At 39.9% G+C, this 16,410-nt stretch overlaps 1 protein-coding gene across 6 annotated transcripts in view; it reads right to left on the reverse strand.

Annotated features, from left to right (window-relative positions):
• Positions 1-1,496: 1,496 nt before the first annotated feature.
• The window catches only part of ANKUB1 (ankyrin repeat and ubiquitin domain containing 1), a 31,455-nt gene continuing 16,541 nt past the window's right edge, over positions 1,497-16,410 (reverse strand). For 4 of the 6 annotated variants that reach the window (NM_001315505.2, XM_011512798.2, NM_001144960.3 and 1 more), the window contains 3 exons: positions 10,957-11,071; positions 7,554-8,492; positions 1,497-2,010 (listed from right to left, as the gene is read on the reverse strand). In NM_001315505.2, coding sequence (NP_001302434.1) covers positions 1,881-2,010; positions 7,554-8,492; positions 10,957-11,071 — 1,184 coding nt within the window. In that variant the 3' untranslated portion in view covers positions 1,497-1,880. Of the gene's footprint in view, positions 2,011-7,024; positions 8,493-10,956; positions 11,072-16,410 lie in introns of those variants that run through there. The other 2 variants (XM_011512799.2, NM_001315506.2) reach the window with 2 other exon arrangements.

Genomic DNA, 16,410 nt, shown 5'->3' on the forward strand with positions numbered 1-16,410 from the left:
AGGAAATAAAAAGCATGAACCATAAAAGAAAAAAATGATAACTTCTACTTCATCAAAGTTAAAACATTTTTGTTTGTCAAAAAACATTATTAATAAAATGAAAAGGTGATCCCACAGACTGGGAAAAATATGCACCATATATCTATATCTATATATATCTGATGAAGAACTTGTATCATAAATACAAAAACTCCAACAAGCCAATAATTAAAAGATAACCCAATTTTTTAAATAGGCAGAAATTTGCATTGATACTTCACAAAAGATACACAAATGGCCAATAAACACATGAAAAGGCATCCAGCATTATAGTCATCAGGAAAATGCAAATTAAACCACAATGATAGGCCATTTCAAACCCCCTAGAATGACTTAAAGGTAAAAAACACTGATGACACCAAGTGTGTGAAGCCACCAGAACTCTTGTACATTGCTAGTCAAAGTGTTAAAAATCATAAAGCCACTTTGGAGAACTCTTAGGTAGTTTCTCATAATGTTAAATGTACATTCACCCTATTATCCAACAATTCTACTCCTAGATACTTACCCAAAAGAAATGAAAGCATGTCCAGAAAAATACTTTTTACAATAATGTTCATAGAGCTTTTTTCATAATATGTCAAAACTGGAGGCAACCCAAACATCCATACAGTCCATACACCATGCATTATGGTGCAACCATATAATCGAATACTATTTAGTAATAAAAAGGAATGTATGGCTGGGTATGGTGGCTCATGCCTGTAATTCCAGCACTTTGGGAGGCCAAGGGAGGTGGATCAGTTGAGGTCAGGAGTTCGAGACCAGCCTGGCCAACATGGTGAAACCCTGTCTCTACTAAAAATACAAAAATTAGTTGGGTGTGGTGACATATGCTTGTAATCCCAGCTACTCAGGGTGTGGGGACACACCCTTGTAATCCCACCTACTCAGGAGGCTGAGGCCAGAGAATTGCTTAAACCTGGGAGGTGGAGGTTACAGTGAGCTGAGATCGTGTTGCTGCACTCCAGCCTGGATGACAGAGTAACACTCTGTCTCAAAAAAAAAAAAAAAAAAAAAGAAAAAAAGAAAAAAAGGAATGTACTACTGATATGTGCAGTAATGCAAATGATTCTTAAAACATTAGGTTGAGCAAAATAACCCAGACACAAAAGTGAACAACTGCATGATACCAGTGATTTGAAAATCTCATCTACGGAGCTAGAAATCAGAATAGCAGTTACCTAAAGAAGTTGGGATTGACTTAGGAGCTTGAAGCAACTTCCTGGGGTAACAAAAATGTTCTATGTTTTGACTGGGATATTTTTCAAACCCATTGAATCTTACATTTAAGATTCATGCAATTCACTGCATGTAAATTTTAACTCAATTTAAAAAATTAATTGGAAACAATGTTTTAGCAGTTCAAAAGATGTCTGAGATCAGCTTTAGACCTGGATGGTATTTGTTAACTTTCTTAAGAACTTTCCTTAAATATAATTTAAAAATTTTATTTATTTTTAAATATGTTCTACATTCATATGGCTTAAAAAACCAAAACACATTTTTTTAGGAAAAAAAAAGAAAAACAAACAAAGGAACTGTAAAAATTCCCACTTCCTTGTTTTCCATTGTCTCAGCTCCCCTACCCTGTGGACAACTACTATTCTAAGTTTCTTCTGAATTCTTCCTCATATTCTTTATGCAAAAATAGCACTAAAGTTTCACTTAGTGTGATGAAGTCTGAGAAAACATGGTGTTAAATATCCTATTAAAAGTTATGTGGCATTATAACTGTTACTAGAGATGATAACATTAGAACTGTTATTAGAAATGTTAACATTAGAACTGGACATTCTGTTTGATCAGGTCTTTGTCCAAACTGAAGTTGTCATGACTTTTCAAAGCACAGTTTCTAGAGAGTTTTCACACGCTGTCAGACCTCCTCGGGTAGTCAAGTTAGAAATGCTCTTTTTGGCCAGGACTCTTGCTATTTCTAACTGCTGAAGCCATCGTTTCTCTTTAAAGGCACTGCAAGAAAACAAGATATAATTTGTAAGGAGGTCTGATCTTGTCTGCATACATAGCTGAAAAAGGATGGAAATCTTCAGGTTGATTTTGTAGCTAGGGCTAGTTTGTCTTGTCACATAGGTAGATGTGAAATAGAAACAGTAATCTTTCTAAAACAAGTTCCCTGTGATGCAGTGGGAATGATATTTTCTCAAGGCAATACTAAAAACTTAGAATCCACAACTAGAAACAGAAAGCCACTCAATATCATGTAGAATTCTCTGGGTTGAAACTTTTTCTCTCTCCTCTCTAGATATTCCTATACATCACATATTCCCTGGCCTCCTCTTTTCTCCACTTTCTACCCCTACGAACACACATGAGGATTTTTTAATTGAAAAGATATTAGGTATTTTGATAGTCTTTAACTAAAATGCAAAGGAACTTAATGTTTTATGATAGTTATTCTCTGGCTATATACTAATAAAGACTTGCAAATTTGAATACGATTACTCTTTGTAGGATGCAAATGTGATTTAATACAGAGGTGTTTTACATCACCTTAAATGTTGGGGTCCTCCAAGATTCTATCTTTGGTCCTCCTCTCTTTCTACACCCTCATCCTAGGAGTCCTCATTTACTCACTGTTTAAATTCTTTTATCCATGACTCCTTGACCTTTCTCAAAAGTGGCATATCTCCAATTAACAAATAAAAATATTCATCCCATAGACACTTCTAATTTAACATATCTTTATCTTCTTCCTAAACTTGTCCCACTTCTGTTTCCTTGTTCTAACACTTCGATTTTGCTATCCTCACCATCTCCAAAGCTAGAAACGAAACTAAATTCCTTCTTTCTCTATTTCCACACCCAGTCAGTGACCAAATTTTGTGGATTATTCCCCAGAAATATCTCTTGTATTTGGCCTTTTCTCTTTTCCCTAACTACTGTTGTTCTAGTCCAGGTCTTTATTTTCTCTTATTTCTCTTTTTGCAGCTTCCTACCTTTACTATAGTCTTTCCACATCTTTCCAACGAGTCTTCCATACATCTCTATCAGATTTGTCTTCAAAAACAAACAAAAACTGATTATGGAACTTACTTCATGAAAAAGAACTTCTATGAGCTTCCCACCTACCTCCTACCCCATGGAAGGGGGAATAAGAAGCAAACTCTTCACTTGGTCACACAAGATGCTTCTTAGTGTAGATGCAGTCTACTTTGCCAGTCTTATCTCCAGCCAGTTCTTCCTTATTGCCTAGGATGACTTTTGCAAATCCACGTACCTTCCTGAAAATTCAATTTCTTGCTTGCTCTTTCACAAAAGTGCCTTTGACCATGTTACTAGCTCTGCCTGGATCCTTTACCTCACCTCTGCCCATGTTGTCTGGCAAAGTCTGGTATTTCTAAAAGGCTTTCACTCAATCTATTAGGAGTAACCCTGTATAAAAGTACCATAGTGTTTCCAACATTTGAACCAGGTCTATGTCTGCCTGATTCAACTTCTTTGTTCTAGATTAACTTCTTGCTTTACCTCAATGGCTGTGTCTTTCTGTGCCCTCTAAACTGAGTTAACCCATCCATGCAGCCCATAAAATTAGGTGTTAAGTCTTAAAGAAATCATTCAGGCACTTTCAGCCTTTCCCTGTATCCCACCAGACTTAGTTTGAAGTCCTCTCCTGTTCTGATGCATATCCTTGCTCTTCCTAGGCTCAGAGCCTATCCTGATTCTCTCCCTGGCATTTGAAACCTGGCTTTTCTGCATTCATTCAAAAACTGTTTACCTTAAGAAAAAGATGCGTATTGAGCACTTACTCTATGGCAAGCACTATTCTATGTGCTGGAGATACAAAAGGTGATTAAAACATACAAGATATGCCTTTTTAAATAAAGAATAAAAACAAAGAGCTGTACTTGTATCCAGAGTACAAGAGCCCAGCAAAGCTCATAACATTTGAGATTATCATCTATTCTCAGTCCACTCAAACTCTCAGCCTTCTGGATCAATCCCTTACATTTGAATCTTTACTTAACTGGACTCCCAGGTCACATAAACCTCTCTGGAATTGGACAATGAGCAATAAGGAAAGCTATTTTCTAGACACACCTTACAGATATTCTTTGACCTGTGTAAAGCCTACTGACGTCTAGGCTGAGGAATGAGACTCTATGTGACCTTCTGGCCTCAGTGACTGTCTACACCAGCCACATTTACTCACCAACCCAAACCCACATTAGCGCTTGATCTGTGTTAACTGCATAATGCCATCTTGGAGTCAACCCTGAGAGGTTTAGTTTTATGAATCTAAAGGTAGGAGTTCCTGAATGACATGTGGTCCAACAAGTACTTTCACATGATGCCAGATGACTTGTCTGCTTTGGGAGACTCCCCTTTCTGTAAAACAGGAACATCTGATGGTCACTTTACCCACCTGATCCCTGGGTCAGCATCATGAAGGATTACATTAGGTTCTTCCCCATTTCCTGGCTATGACACTAGCTTGGTGATGGTGCATGTAGCCATCAAGATAGCGTCCATCCATTCCTCATGTTTGTGTCTTTGTGGTACAAGAGCTGCACTGGTCATTTAGAGGGGTGCTCAGACCACCTGACTGCCTGCCTTGACTGTCTACTTCAGGTAGATGTAAGTGCTTTTGTGACTTCTATGGGGAACTTGAACTCGATCAAGAAGACTGCAGGGTCATGAGATTGTAGATCTCTCCTTCCCTTCCACAGCCCACCAACAAAGGAAGGTGGAACAGATCCTGGGAAAGATTCAGTGGAAAGGGGGCAGAAATGGATGGGAAGTGGAGGGTGTGAATACAGGAAAGAGAAAAATATTGAGAAAAGAGAAATGGAAAGAGGATTTGCTAGGAGTAACACTGCCAGAGTAAATGTGCGGTCAGACTGACCACCACTCCCCCTATGGGTCTCCCTTCTGCATTAATCCCTTCCTTCCTTTCCCTTCCTTCCTTCCCTCCCTCCCTCCCTCCCTCCCTTCCTTCCTCCCTCCCTCCCTCCTCTCCTCCCTTCCTCCCTTCCTCTCTCTTTCTTTCTTTCCTTCCTTCTTTCTTTCTTTTTCTTTCCTTCCTTCCTTCTTTCTTCCTCTCTTTCTCTCTTTCCTTCCTTCCTTATTTTCTTTCCTTCTTTCCTCTCTCTCTTTCCTTCACAGAATAACACTTTAACAAAATGTTTTCTCTAGAAATTTCTTTCTTGACCTTGAAATTGCCACTCATTAATAATTCCAATCCTTATGAAATGTAGCTACAAAAAAAAAAGCACACTGGTAGTCTCTTTTAAAAAGTGTTTTGAAATGTTTACTAAAGCTAAACATAAATTTATCCTATGACCCGGCAATTCTATTCCTTGGTATAGAGTCAAGAGAAGTGAACGCAGATGTCCACCAAAACTCATATGCAAGAACAATCATGCATTTTTATTCAAAGTAGCCCCTAAATTAGAAACAATTTAAATGTCCATCAGTAGGAAAATAGATAAATAAATTAGGATATGGAATACTGCATACAAATGGAATGCTACATAGAAATAAGAACAATCAATACATGCAAAAACACTGATGAATCTTATAGGCAATGTGTTGAACAAAAAAAGCAAAATATCAAAGGTATATGCCATATGTGCCCTTTATATGAAGTTCAAGAACAGGCTAAAGTAATCTTCGGTGATAGAGATGAGAATAATAGTTACATCCGGGAAGGATCATGACTGGCAAGGGGCATGAAGGAAATTTTGGGGGGTGCTGGAAATAGTTTGCATCTGATCTGAGTAGTGCTTGTATGAAAACATAAAAATTCAACAAGCCATATATGTGAGATTAGTGGTCCTTATGGATTTTACTATATATTTCATAACTCATTTCCTCCCCAAGAAAGCACTGTATACAACAACAGACACTGTCAGCTTTTCTTATCTAAAACCACACACACACACATGCACACACACACACACACACACCTTAAAAACAGATGCTTTTTCATGCACATTTCCATTCTGCTGGGCACAGCACTGGGCTATAGTAAACACTTACTGAATGTTTGAAAAATAAACTCATTTTTAGCATGTATCTGTTGATAAAACAAATCAATATTTCCTTTCTTGTTTACAGCCTTATTTTAAGAGGGACTATGTAGTTTTTTCAATTAATAATTTTCCTAGTATATTTCTAGAATTTTTGGTGATCTCTTTTTATACATTCTAGTCAGAGATATCTCACAAATTACAAAGATTGAGACTATTAAGCTATTAAGTGTCTTCCTCTATTGTCAACCTCACTCTGTTGGATATTGAATTTTGAGTTTTACAGCCCAAATTACTCTCACCACAAGGTGGCAACAACCTAACTGAAATAAAGTTGAGCTGAGCTAAAGACCAGTACAGAAAAGCAAGTAGAACAATCTAGCCTTGTTTTTTCTTTACTTCTCATTATATTGAGTAAAGGGAAAAGTCGCTTGTAAATCTATATTTCTAACTGTAAAATTTGCATCAAATAATACCTCATAAGTAATGGATGGGATCTGAGCTCTAATCAGAGAGTTGTGTACCTTAAACATCTAATTCCGATACACTTTCTTATCTCTTTAGATGTGCTAAGGATTACCTTTTAACTCACTGTAAATATTAATGTCAATTCTAGCACCCTGTCCAATACAGATCTCACCCCATATGTGTATCTTGCCTAGTCAGTCAATTCAAGTCTTTAATCATTCAATTTGTCATTAATGTGTTCCTTTCTTTCTTCCCATTTTCATTACCATTTAGTTTTCTATGACACTTTTTATGTCTCCCTCCCATATTTCAGTTTTCTCTCTTTCCCCTCTAATTACAATTAATGTTTTATTAGCTTTAGAAGAAGAAGAGGAAGACAAAGAAGTGGAAGAGGAGGAAAAAGAAGAAGCATTAGCAGGCTAGGCACAGTGGTTCATGCCTGTAATCCCAGCACTTTGGGAGGCCAAGGTGGGAGGATCGCTTGAGCCCAGGAGTTTGAGACCAACCTGGGCAACATGGTGAGTCCTCATCTCTACAGAAAAAAAAAATCAATCAGATATAGTGGCATGTGCCTGTAGTCCCAGCTACTTGGAAGGCTGAGATGGGAGAATTGCTTGAGCCTAGGAATTCAAGAATGCAATGAGCTGTGATAGCACCACTGCACTCCAGCCTGAGCAACAGAACGAGACCCTGTCTCAAACAAAAAGAAAAAAGAAAAGCAGCAGCAGCAGCAGCAGCAGCAGCAGCAGCAGCAGCAGCAGCAGCAGCAGCAGCAGCAGCAAGGGACCTTGAGAATTGATACAATTCTTTCTACTGTGTTTCTTTCCCTCCTGAAAGTTTGAGGAGTAAAGTACTGCACAGATTGGATTGGCCAATAATATTAATTCATTTTGTCCTAGTGATGAGGCTAAGATGAGGTCCTTGAAGCTGGGTATTGATGCACTGGAACAACTTGTATTACTTTCAGTGGCATAGTAGGGCATTATGGACCATTCCTTATCCTGGACCTGCCTTATAAAAGCTTTGCTGTTTGTATGTTTAAGGGGAGAACATTACCTTGCCACAGCTAAGCAGTAGATTGCGTTCTCCCATGGAGTCTTCCCACTGTGCTCTAAGAAAGATGAGAAGGAGGACTTCAGTAAAAAGTCAGCACTGGGTGTTGCATAGAAAAACGATGGATGTGAATATCCCACTCTTGAAACTGGAGGGAGGGGGACTTGGGGAAGATATGTGTTTTTTATGAGCTTTTCTTTTTTCCTAGCTGTGGCAGTAATTTTTTTCTGATTTTGTTGTTGATGTTTTTGTAATTCAGAGAATGAACTTGCATTCACCAGTGGATGAAATTTGAGGGCTTGTTTTCTTGTGTCCGGCTGTGAAATTGCCAAAGGATTGACAGGTTTGCTGCTTGCAGTTTGTTTGCTGAGAGATGGTAGCTTGAGCACGATGCTTTGTGAGTCGCTGTTCCCAGCCTTATGCCAGCTCTTGGAGGTCATTTTTGGTTTGGTGAAACCATCCACCATCACAGTGTCTCCAACTTTTGCCCCAAAGACCCTTGCTCCACAAAACTGGCTTTTATGAAGACTGTGACTCTGAGCTCTGAGGATCCATTGTTTTATTTTAATATAAATCCTCATTGGGACTGAAATTTTTGGAAAAGAAACTGTGGACCACATTTTACTGAGCAAATATAATACACAGTCTTTATGCTTGTGTTTGAACACAATGGTCAGGGGAGTTTGTCCTGCTGCATTTTTGCATTCCAGGCACAGCACACTGTAGTTGACAAAGGCCTTCAGAATCAACAGTTGGCCTGCTTCTGCGGCTGCATGAATGGGGCATTTAGAGACATCTGCATGAAGGGCTTCATGGCACCATGCTCGATAGGGGTGAACACCGACTGCCTCGTGGGGCCGCGCACCCTGCTTCAGGGCCCATTCAGTGAGTTCAATGTACCCACAAAAAGCAGCAATGTACAGGGCTACCCTTTTCTGATACCTAAATGAGTGAAACAAGTGGGGAGGGGGTGTTTAGAAAATCAGCAAACAGACAAATGTAGTTACACTAAATGCTCATGAAATATTCTAGTTGAATGTTTATTTCTTCTTAACTTTTACCTTAAAATATTTTTAGAAAAGGCATATAGTGACATACAGGTTAAACTGCACAAGTCCTGCTTATACACATTATCCTACTATGCACGTGTAAATAGTTTCCTTGAAGTGGTCATCTTTCTTATAAAAATTAAATCCTCGAAAAATATCATGCATGGGGAAATACAAGGAGCTTTTAAGTCTGATCATGTACATTCTCTGAGCTATTAGATTTTATTTAAAGATGAAGTCAAGTATAGATGGTCAAGCACATGAACACTAGAGTTAAATTGTTACAATTCAATACCCAGTTCTGCCCTTGCTATTTGTGTGACATGGGGCAGGTTTTCTTCCTCCATCCCCCCTCCCCAGACAGAGTCTTGCTCTGTTGCTCAGGCTGGAGTGCAGTGATGCAATCTTGGCTCACTGCAACCTCCACCTCCCGAGTTGAAGCAATTATCCTGCCTCAGCCTCCTCAGTAGTTGGGATTACAGGTGCGAGCCACCACACCTGGCTAATTTTTGTATTTTTTGTAGAAACAGGAATTTCGCTACGTTGGCCACGCTGGTGTCGAACTCCTGACCTCAAGTGATCTGCCCACCTTGGCCTCCCAAAGTAATGGGATTACAGGTGTGAACCACTGTGCCCAGCCAACATGGGGCAGGTTTTCTGATCTTAGTTTCCTCATGTGTAAAATAAGATTAAAAAGTGTCCGCCTCATCAAATTGTTACAAGCATAAAATGAGGTAATAAATATAACACAGTGTCTGCCGTAAAGTATTAAATAAATATACACTATTAAAAGTAACAAAGCAACACAGCTATTTCTTTGGATGCAGAACATGGAAAAAGAAATATCACTACCCCACAATAGAAATTAGTATAAAATATTAGAATATTTTATAAAATTGTAAAATCTGCTCTTCTAATCCATCACTTCACAGAGCCTCAGACCTCCTGGTGTGTTGGCTTCTGCAAAACATGATTAAATCACCCATGAGGGGGCACTTTTCTAAAGTACTATTAAACCTACAGATTAGTGCAATTTATGTATTTGAGAAGCTGATGGCTGTATTAACACATTAAAATGACCGCCTGCCTCTCTGAACCAACCCTCCTCCTGCCCCAGCTATACCCGTTACACTTTATGTATAGCAAAAGTGTGAATGCTGGTAATAAATGCAGTTTGAAAAATTACATGTGAGCTTAGGAAGACGTGGCCAATGTTTTCAGCCAATTAACAAGTGTTTTCTTAAAGAATAACTGAATGTGAAATTGGCAAGATACAGACGTCCTTTGACTTATTATAGAGTTACGTCTTGATAAAAACCATCATACGCTGAAAGTATCATAAGTCTAAAATGCATTTAATACACCTAATCTACTGAACATCAAATCTTAGTCTAGCCTACCTTAATTAGCATACAGTTGGGCAAAATCATCTAACACAAAGCCTATATTATAATGTACTGTTGAATATATCCTATAATTTATTGAATGCTGTACTGAAAATGAAAAAGAATTGTTTTATGGGCACTGGAAGTTTGGTTTCTACTGAATTAATATCACTTTTACACCATTGTAAGTTGAAAAATCTAAGTTGAACCATCATAAGTTGTGGACTGTCTGTATTTATTCTGATAGTCTTTAAAAATGTTGCTGAAAGTCTCATATCTAAACCAAATCGAAGTCACCCATTTAATCACCATTTAATGACCTTTGAACAACATGAGTTTGAACTGTCAGGGTTCAGTTTGGGGATTTTCTTCCACCTCTGCCACACCTGAGACAGCAAGACAAACCCCTTCTCCTCTTTCTCCCCCTCAGCCTTATTCAACCTGAAGATTGAAGACCTTTATAATGATCCACATCCACTTAATGACTAGGAAATATATTTTCTTTTCCTTATGATTTTCTTAATATTTTCTTTTCTGTAGCTTACTTTATTGTAAGAATATGGTATATAATACATATACACAACGTGTTAATTGACTGTGTTATCAGTAAGGCTTCTGGTCAATGGTAGGCTATTAGTAGCTAAGTTTTGGGGAAGTCAAAAGTTATATGGGAATTTTCAACTGTATGGGGAGTTGGCATCCCTAACCCCTGCATTGTTCAAAGGTTAATTGTAGTTAGTATTTCCTGAGGAAAGTCTACCTGAATCGCAAGACTATCAGTCCTGATGGCATCCCTGCTGTTTTGTTCCAACAAATATGTCAATAATAATATTTGGTTGAGACATACTAAGTGGAACTGGCATAGAGCAGCACCCCAGCTGTAGAGTGAGTGAATTGCAGGCTCAAGGTATGATGGAAGTTTAGTAAAAATCACAGCACTTGCTAAGTTAATTTAAAATTAATTTCTCATACTTGAGTACTGGTCCTTCTTTTGATAAGTAGCGTTGGACTTTAAGTTTTTGTCCAAGGAGACAACCCATCAGAAATTCCTTCCATCCATCCCAGACATCCAAGCGAAGTGTTGTGCCTGTGGATCAAGAGAGGTGGTTTATGGTTCCAGTCCAGCAGTGTGGTTTGACAATCCATAAAACTTCTAATGGTAGCTTTCCCCAAACAGAGGCTTAGCTAGATGCAAAATGAAAAATAACCTTGGAACAAGGAGACAGGGATGGTATTTTTAGCATAGGCCATTATTGGCTTGGAAAAGCTGTTTGGCATCTGTGTATTACCATTTTCTCATCTGCTCAATGATGGCGTATAGCACTGAAGTATTTTTTTGCAGCTATCTTAAAACAGTCTTGTGGAGATTGACTCAATGCTGCTGTATATATTACCATGTAAACTGAAGCCATTATATTGGAAGAGGAAACTAAGGAACCTGTGGCAGGACAAACAGTCTTCTGGGGCCTTTAGCTTATGAGTGGGCTGTGAGGGAGTGGAAAGATGCTCACCAGCTAATTTGCTTGTTCTATCCTTTATGAAACAGGAGCTGTTCTCCGTTACAAACATTAAAGTAATTCACTGCTGCTGGAGAACTTATCACTTGCTTCTCCAAAGTCTACCCTTTCTGTGATACCACATTCCTTTTATCCTTCAGGCTGGTGTTTCCCAGGGATCTTTCCTCAGCCTTCCGTTCTTCTCAATTTACGCAAGTTCCCTGGGGATTAAACCCAGCCTTCTCCCTATGTGAACCAACCTAGCTCACTTACCTCTCTTCACTCTGCTTCATTCATTTATTATGGCCACCTTGACCTTTCACCTGTCCTCACACCAAGTCTACTCCCATCTCAGGACCTAATGACTTACAATTTTTTGATTGAAAGGATCTTCATCAGATTTTCACAGGACTGTGTCCTTTTTATTCAGTTTTCACTTCAACCATAGCTAAAGCAATCTCTGCCATCACTACCTCCTCACCTTCATTACTTTGTATCCCATGACTTTATTTTAACTTGTTTATTGCCCCTGTCATCAGTATTTGAAATCATTTTATTTGCTTGAAGATTTTTTTTTCATGCTCCCATTAAGAAGAAAATTCCTTCACGACTTGCCGTATAGCCTGACACTTGGTAGGTGCTCACTAAATACTTGATAGCTGATTAATTGTCAATCTTAGTGGCGATGATAGCTTCATTGACCACCCAGGTGTCACTCATTCCCAAGTCCCAATCTCCAGCCCAGCCTCTGCTCCAGCTCCAGACTCCCCCTGCTGGCGATATTACCAAAGAAGGGATTGCACTACAACCCCATCATTCTAAAAGACCACTCATTATCTTTCACCCAACCTGCTTTTTCTCCTGCATTTTTTTTTCTCAGTGAGTGGTACATCTATTTTGCTACCTAAGCCATATATTAGAGAGTTTTCCTCCATCCTTCCTTTTTTTTTTTTTTTTTTTAGACGGAGTCTTTCTCTGTCACCCAGGCTGGGGTGCAGTGGCACAATCTTGGCTCACTGCAACCTCTGCCTCCCAGGCTCAAGTGATTCTCCTGCCTCACCCTCTCAAGTAGCTGGATTACAGGCCACCATGCTCAGCTAAATTTTTTTGTATGTTTAGTAGAGAAGGGGTTTCACCATGTTGGTCAGGCTAATCTCGAACTCCTAACTTCAAACGATCCATCCGCCTTGGCCTCCCACAGTGCTGGAATTACAGGTGTGAGCCATTGCGCCCGGCATCCTTCTCATTTTTTCATGTCCTACATCTAAACGGTTGCTTAGGCCTGACAGGTTTACCTGATCAATATTGAAGAACTCTGTTTCCTTGCCTCCATCTCAACCAGTCCTGCCCTATTTCAGGCCTAGGTAATCTTTCACCTAAATCTACTTTGAGAAGCTCCCAGCAGCCTTCCCTTCTTTATTCAGGTCTCTGCTCAATGTTGTCTTCTTTTCTGACCAGCTATCTAAATAGCCTCCCATCAGTTTACTGCATCATTCTTTATTCCATTATCCTGCCTTCTTTTACTTCGTAGCTCTTAACCTCTGCTTAAAATGAGATATTTTTCTGTTTGCTTGATGGTGTTTGCCTCCTCCACTGAGATCCAAGCTTCAGGAGGGTGGGGACACTGCCACTGTGCCTGCTTTCCACAGTGGTCCCTGGCTTATGGTGGACACTCAGTAAGTATTTGTTGAATGAAGTTCTGCTGGACTCCCAAACTTCTTCTGGCCATGCTCTGCCCTCCTAACCGAGCAGGTTGGCCTGCACTTCCCTGTGCACACCAGGCTGTTTCTGGCCTTGGTGGTGTCTAAACTGTGCTTATCTTTGTTGGCTGAGATTTCAGAACACCAGTAATCTTAGAATCACAGAAAGGTGAAGATAGATCTTAAAAGACCAGCCCACTCAGCAGCCCCCTTTTATAGACTAGGAAGCTGAGGTTCAGAGACACATGAATTGCCTGAGGCTTCTCAGCCAGCTGGGAATTTCCAGAATTCCCTGGAATGTGTCTTTAGGATTCTTTCTAATTCCTAGAGAGTCTCCCCCTTTCAGTTGCCTTTCTCTTTCTTTCCTTTCTGCTTCCCCTCTCTTTTCCTTCTTGCCTCCTCTGTACACGAACACGACAAAGGATATCTCCCTGCCAGTCCCTCCCTTATTGGACATTCTATGTTATAACCTGTAATCTTGAAATGGGGCTCTTCCTCTGTTACTCCTTACTCTGGTTTGGATTTCTTGACCTTGGACTTGCTATTCTTTGTGAGTTGATTCCTATTTGCATACTTGTTTACTCACAGGCCTGACCTGCGTTACTACCCTCATCCCCCTCACCTGCCTCGATCCTCATAACTCGGGCCTCAGCTAGAAGAGTTTACTCTCCTTGCTGGAGAATTCTGGAATTATTCTGTAGACATAAAGTAGTGGTCCTGCAGCTATTCTGTAGAAATACCTTGATAAACATTTTCCAAAATACGGACCATACTTGCTACACTAGGTTAATTTTCTCTAAAGCTTCATGCTGCACTTAAACTTTCTCATAAAATGTTTAATTCTCATGCACTGGAAACAAAGGACTTTAAACACTGCTCCAAGTGCATTTATTTTATCTCCTGCTGAAATGATCTATGTTTTTAGTTTATTGTGAAAATCACTCCCAAATGAGCAGTAGAAAGCTTTAGCCTGGCCCCATACCGCAGCCTCCTTAGTCCTCCACAGCCGAGGCTACACAGTCTCCATTTGAAGGACCAGCCAGCCCCAGGTCCAGAGAACAACCTTAATTCCCGTAGGAGGGAATTTATTAAGATTTAGGCCAGGGTCCCAGTGCAGTGGCTCACACCTGTATTCCCAGCACTTTGGGTGGGAGGATTGCTTGAGGCCAGGAGTTTACCAGCCTGAGCAACACAGCGAGACCCCATCTCTACAAAAACTGAAAAAGATGTAGGTCAGTAACTCAGAGGGTTGGTAGGAAGTCAGTGTTCCTGTTCATCCTGGTCAGATATTCTAGTCACTTCTGTTCCTCCTGAGCAAGTCCCCACTTTGTGCCCTATATTGTGAATCCCAATATTCTACCCCACTTTTTGGGTTTAAGACTAAGATTTCATTTCTGAATTTCCTACTCTAAATCCTAATCTCTGGGGTTAGATTTCTGTCACGTTGTCAGAGCCTCGATGTCAACATCAGCTTATCTAGTTTCCTGCCTCTTTTGTCATTCATTCATTCATTCATTCACTACCTTGGTGCTGTGGTTCACTCACAAGGTCCCTGATGGATCTCCCTGAGGATCACCCTCTGCCTTCCTCGGCCTTACCGACTGACAGCTGCAGACTGACCTGCCTATTCCAGGCCTTCCACCAGAAGGACTTATATGAGGCTAACCTTCCCCTGCTGGATGTCTATAGATGGGATTTTCCTGGCCTACCTGTTCTCCAGATGATTGCCTATCCTCAGAGTCTCAGCTCTCTCTAGCCCTCCTGCCTACTGCTGAATGAGACCTGATTCTGAAAACTACAGAGAGGACCGTACGATTTAAATCTCCTTAACATTGGTGGGGCACCTCCATCAGGCCCTGTATTTTATTTCATTTTAATTCCCTGTCTAGTAGCAAATATTACGGGTGTTATAACCATCAGTTCAGTTCCTTGCAATGAAACAGTCCTGATAATGCTCAGCTTTTGAATATCCAGAGAATTTCTAAGCAAGTCAGCCAGCACTGTTTATTAGATTTTCCTTTCACCCCTGTTGCTTTGTAATGCCCTCTTTGTCAGATGTTAAATTCCTTCATAAGCCTAGGAATTCTGTTGGGAAATAGAAATTTACTTGAAAAACGCTATATTGCTCCAGAAAATACAACTAAAACCTATTACTGAAGAGAGAGGAAAACTAATAAGCTTTAGGGCCCCTCACTACCTTCTATAGAGCCTGCTAATTTTCTTGTCTTAGTTTTGGATTTTTAAAAAGAGGGCCCACAAAATTGTATTAACTTTACAAAACCTGGATCTGTCCATTCTGTGCTTGCAAACGTATCTACTATGCCTAGGCCACACAGGACAGCAGATGGGAGCAACAGTGCCTATTTAGGCAATCATCTTCAACCTTGCCACATGTGGCCCCTGACTCCCAAGTTTCTGGATTCCTCGTTCATACCCCGGGAGTCAACACATGCCTATCTGATTTGGACTTTTTCTTCCTGAATATGGAAATTGTTTCTCTGGTTTGAGCTTCCTGTGATGGAAGAAACAAAATAAAACATTGATTAGAACTTAAAGGCCATCAATAAAAGCATACTGGTTTGGCAGTATAAATTGTTGGAAAGAACCCAGTCCTGGGTGTATGATTATCATTTATTAGCAGTGTAATCTTGATCAGATCACTTAACTTCTCTGAACTTCAGTTTTCTCATCAATAAAAGGAATTAAAATAGCACCATAGGTCTCCATGAGCCTAAAGGTTAGTAAAAGGACCCTGGAGCCAGCTCAGATTTCAGGATCTGAGCTGACACAACCCTGCTCCTGGAATGGTTTCTCAGGTGCAATGTGCCCAGGCAGCCATGAATATATCCTATGAGGTGTTTATAGTGAAGAGTACCAATTGGTATCATCTGTAAAGAAAGGCATTAATTCATTCACTCATTTGTTTAGGTACTCCTTGTTTCAGAAAGGATGAATGCCAGTTTATGAATATATGTGAAATAAAAACAGAATAACAAGCAGATAAGCATGTGGATCAGAAAGAGGAAAGCAAAAGCCAGGGCAGTGATTTCAGAGCTAGAAGCAGGTCTAAAATGAGCATCTGGTACCATACAGGTTGACGTAAGACTAGGTGTGTGTGTGCGTGTGTGTGTGTGTGCATGTATATGTATGTATTGGACCTGTGTGATATGTCACTAAGCCTCAAGTCACAAAATCACACATATTAAGATATACTTATCATGATAGATTTA

The sequence above is a fragment of the Homo sapiens genome, chromosome 3, assembly GCF_000001405.40.
Source record: "Homo sapiens chromosome 3, GRCh38.p14 Primary Assembly".
NCBI classification, from domain to species: Eukaryota; Metazoa; Chordata; class Mammalia; order Primates; family Hominidae; genus Homo; species Homo sapiens.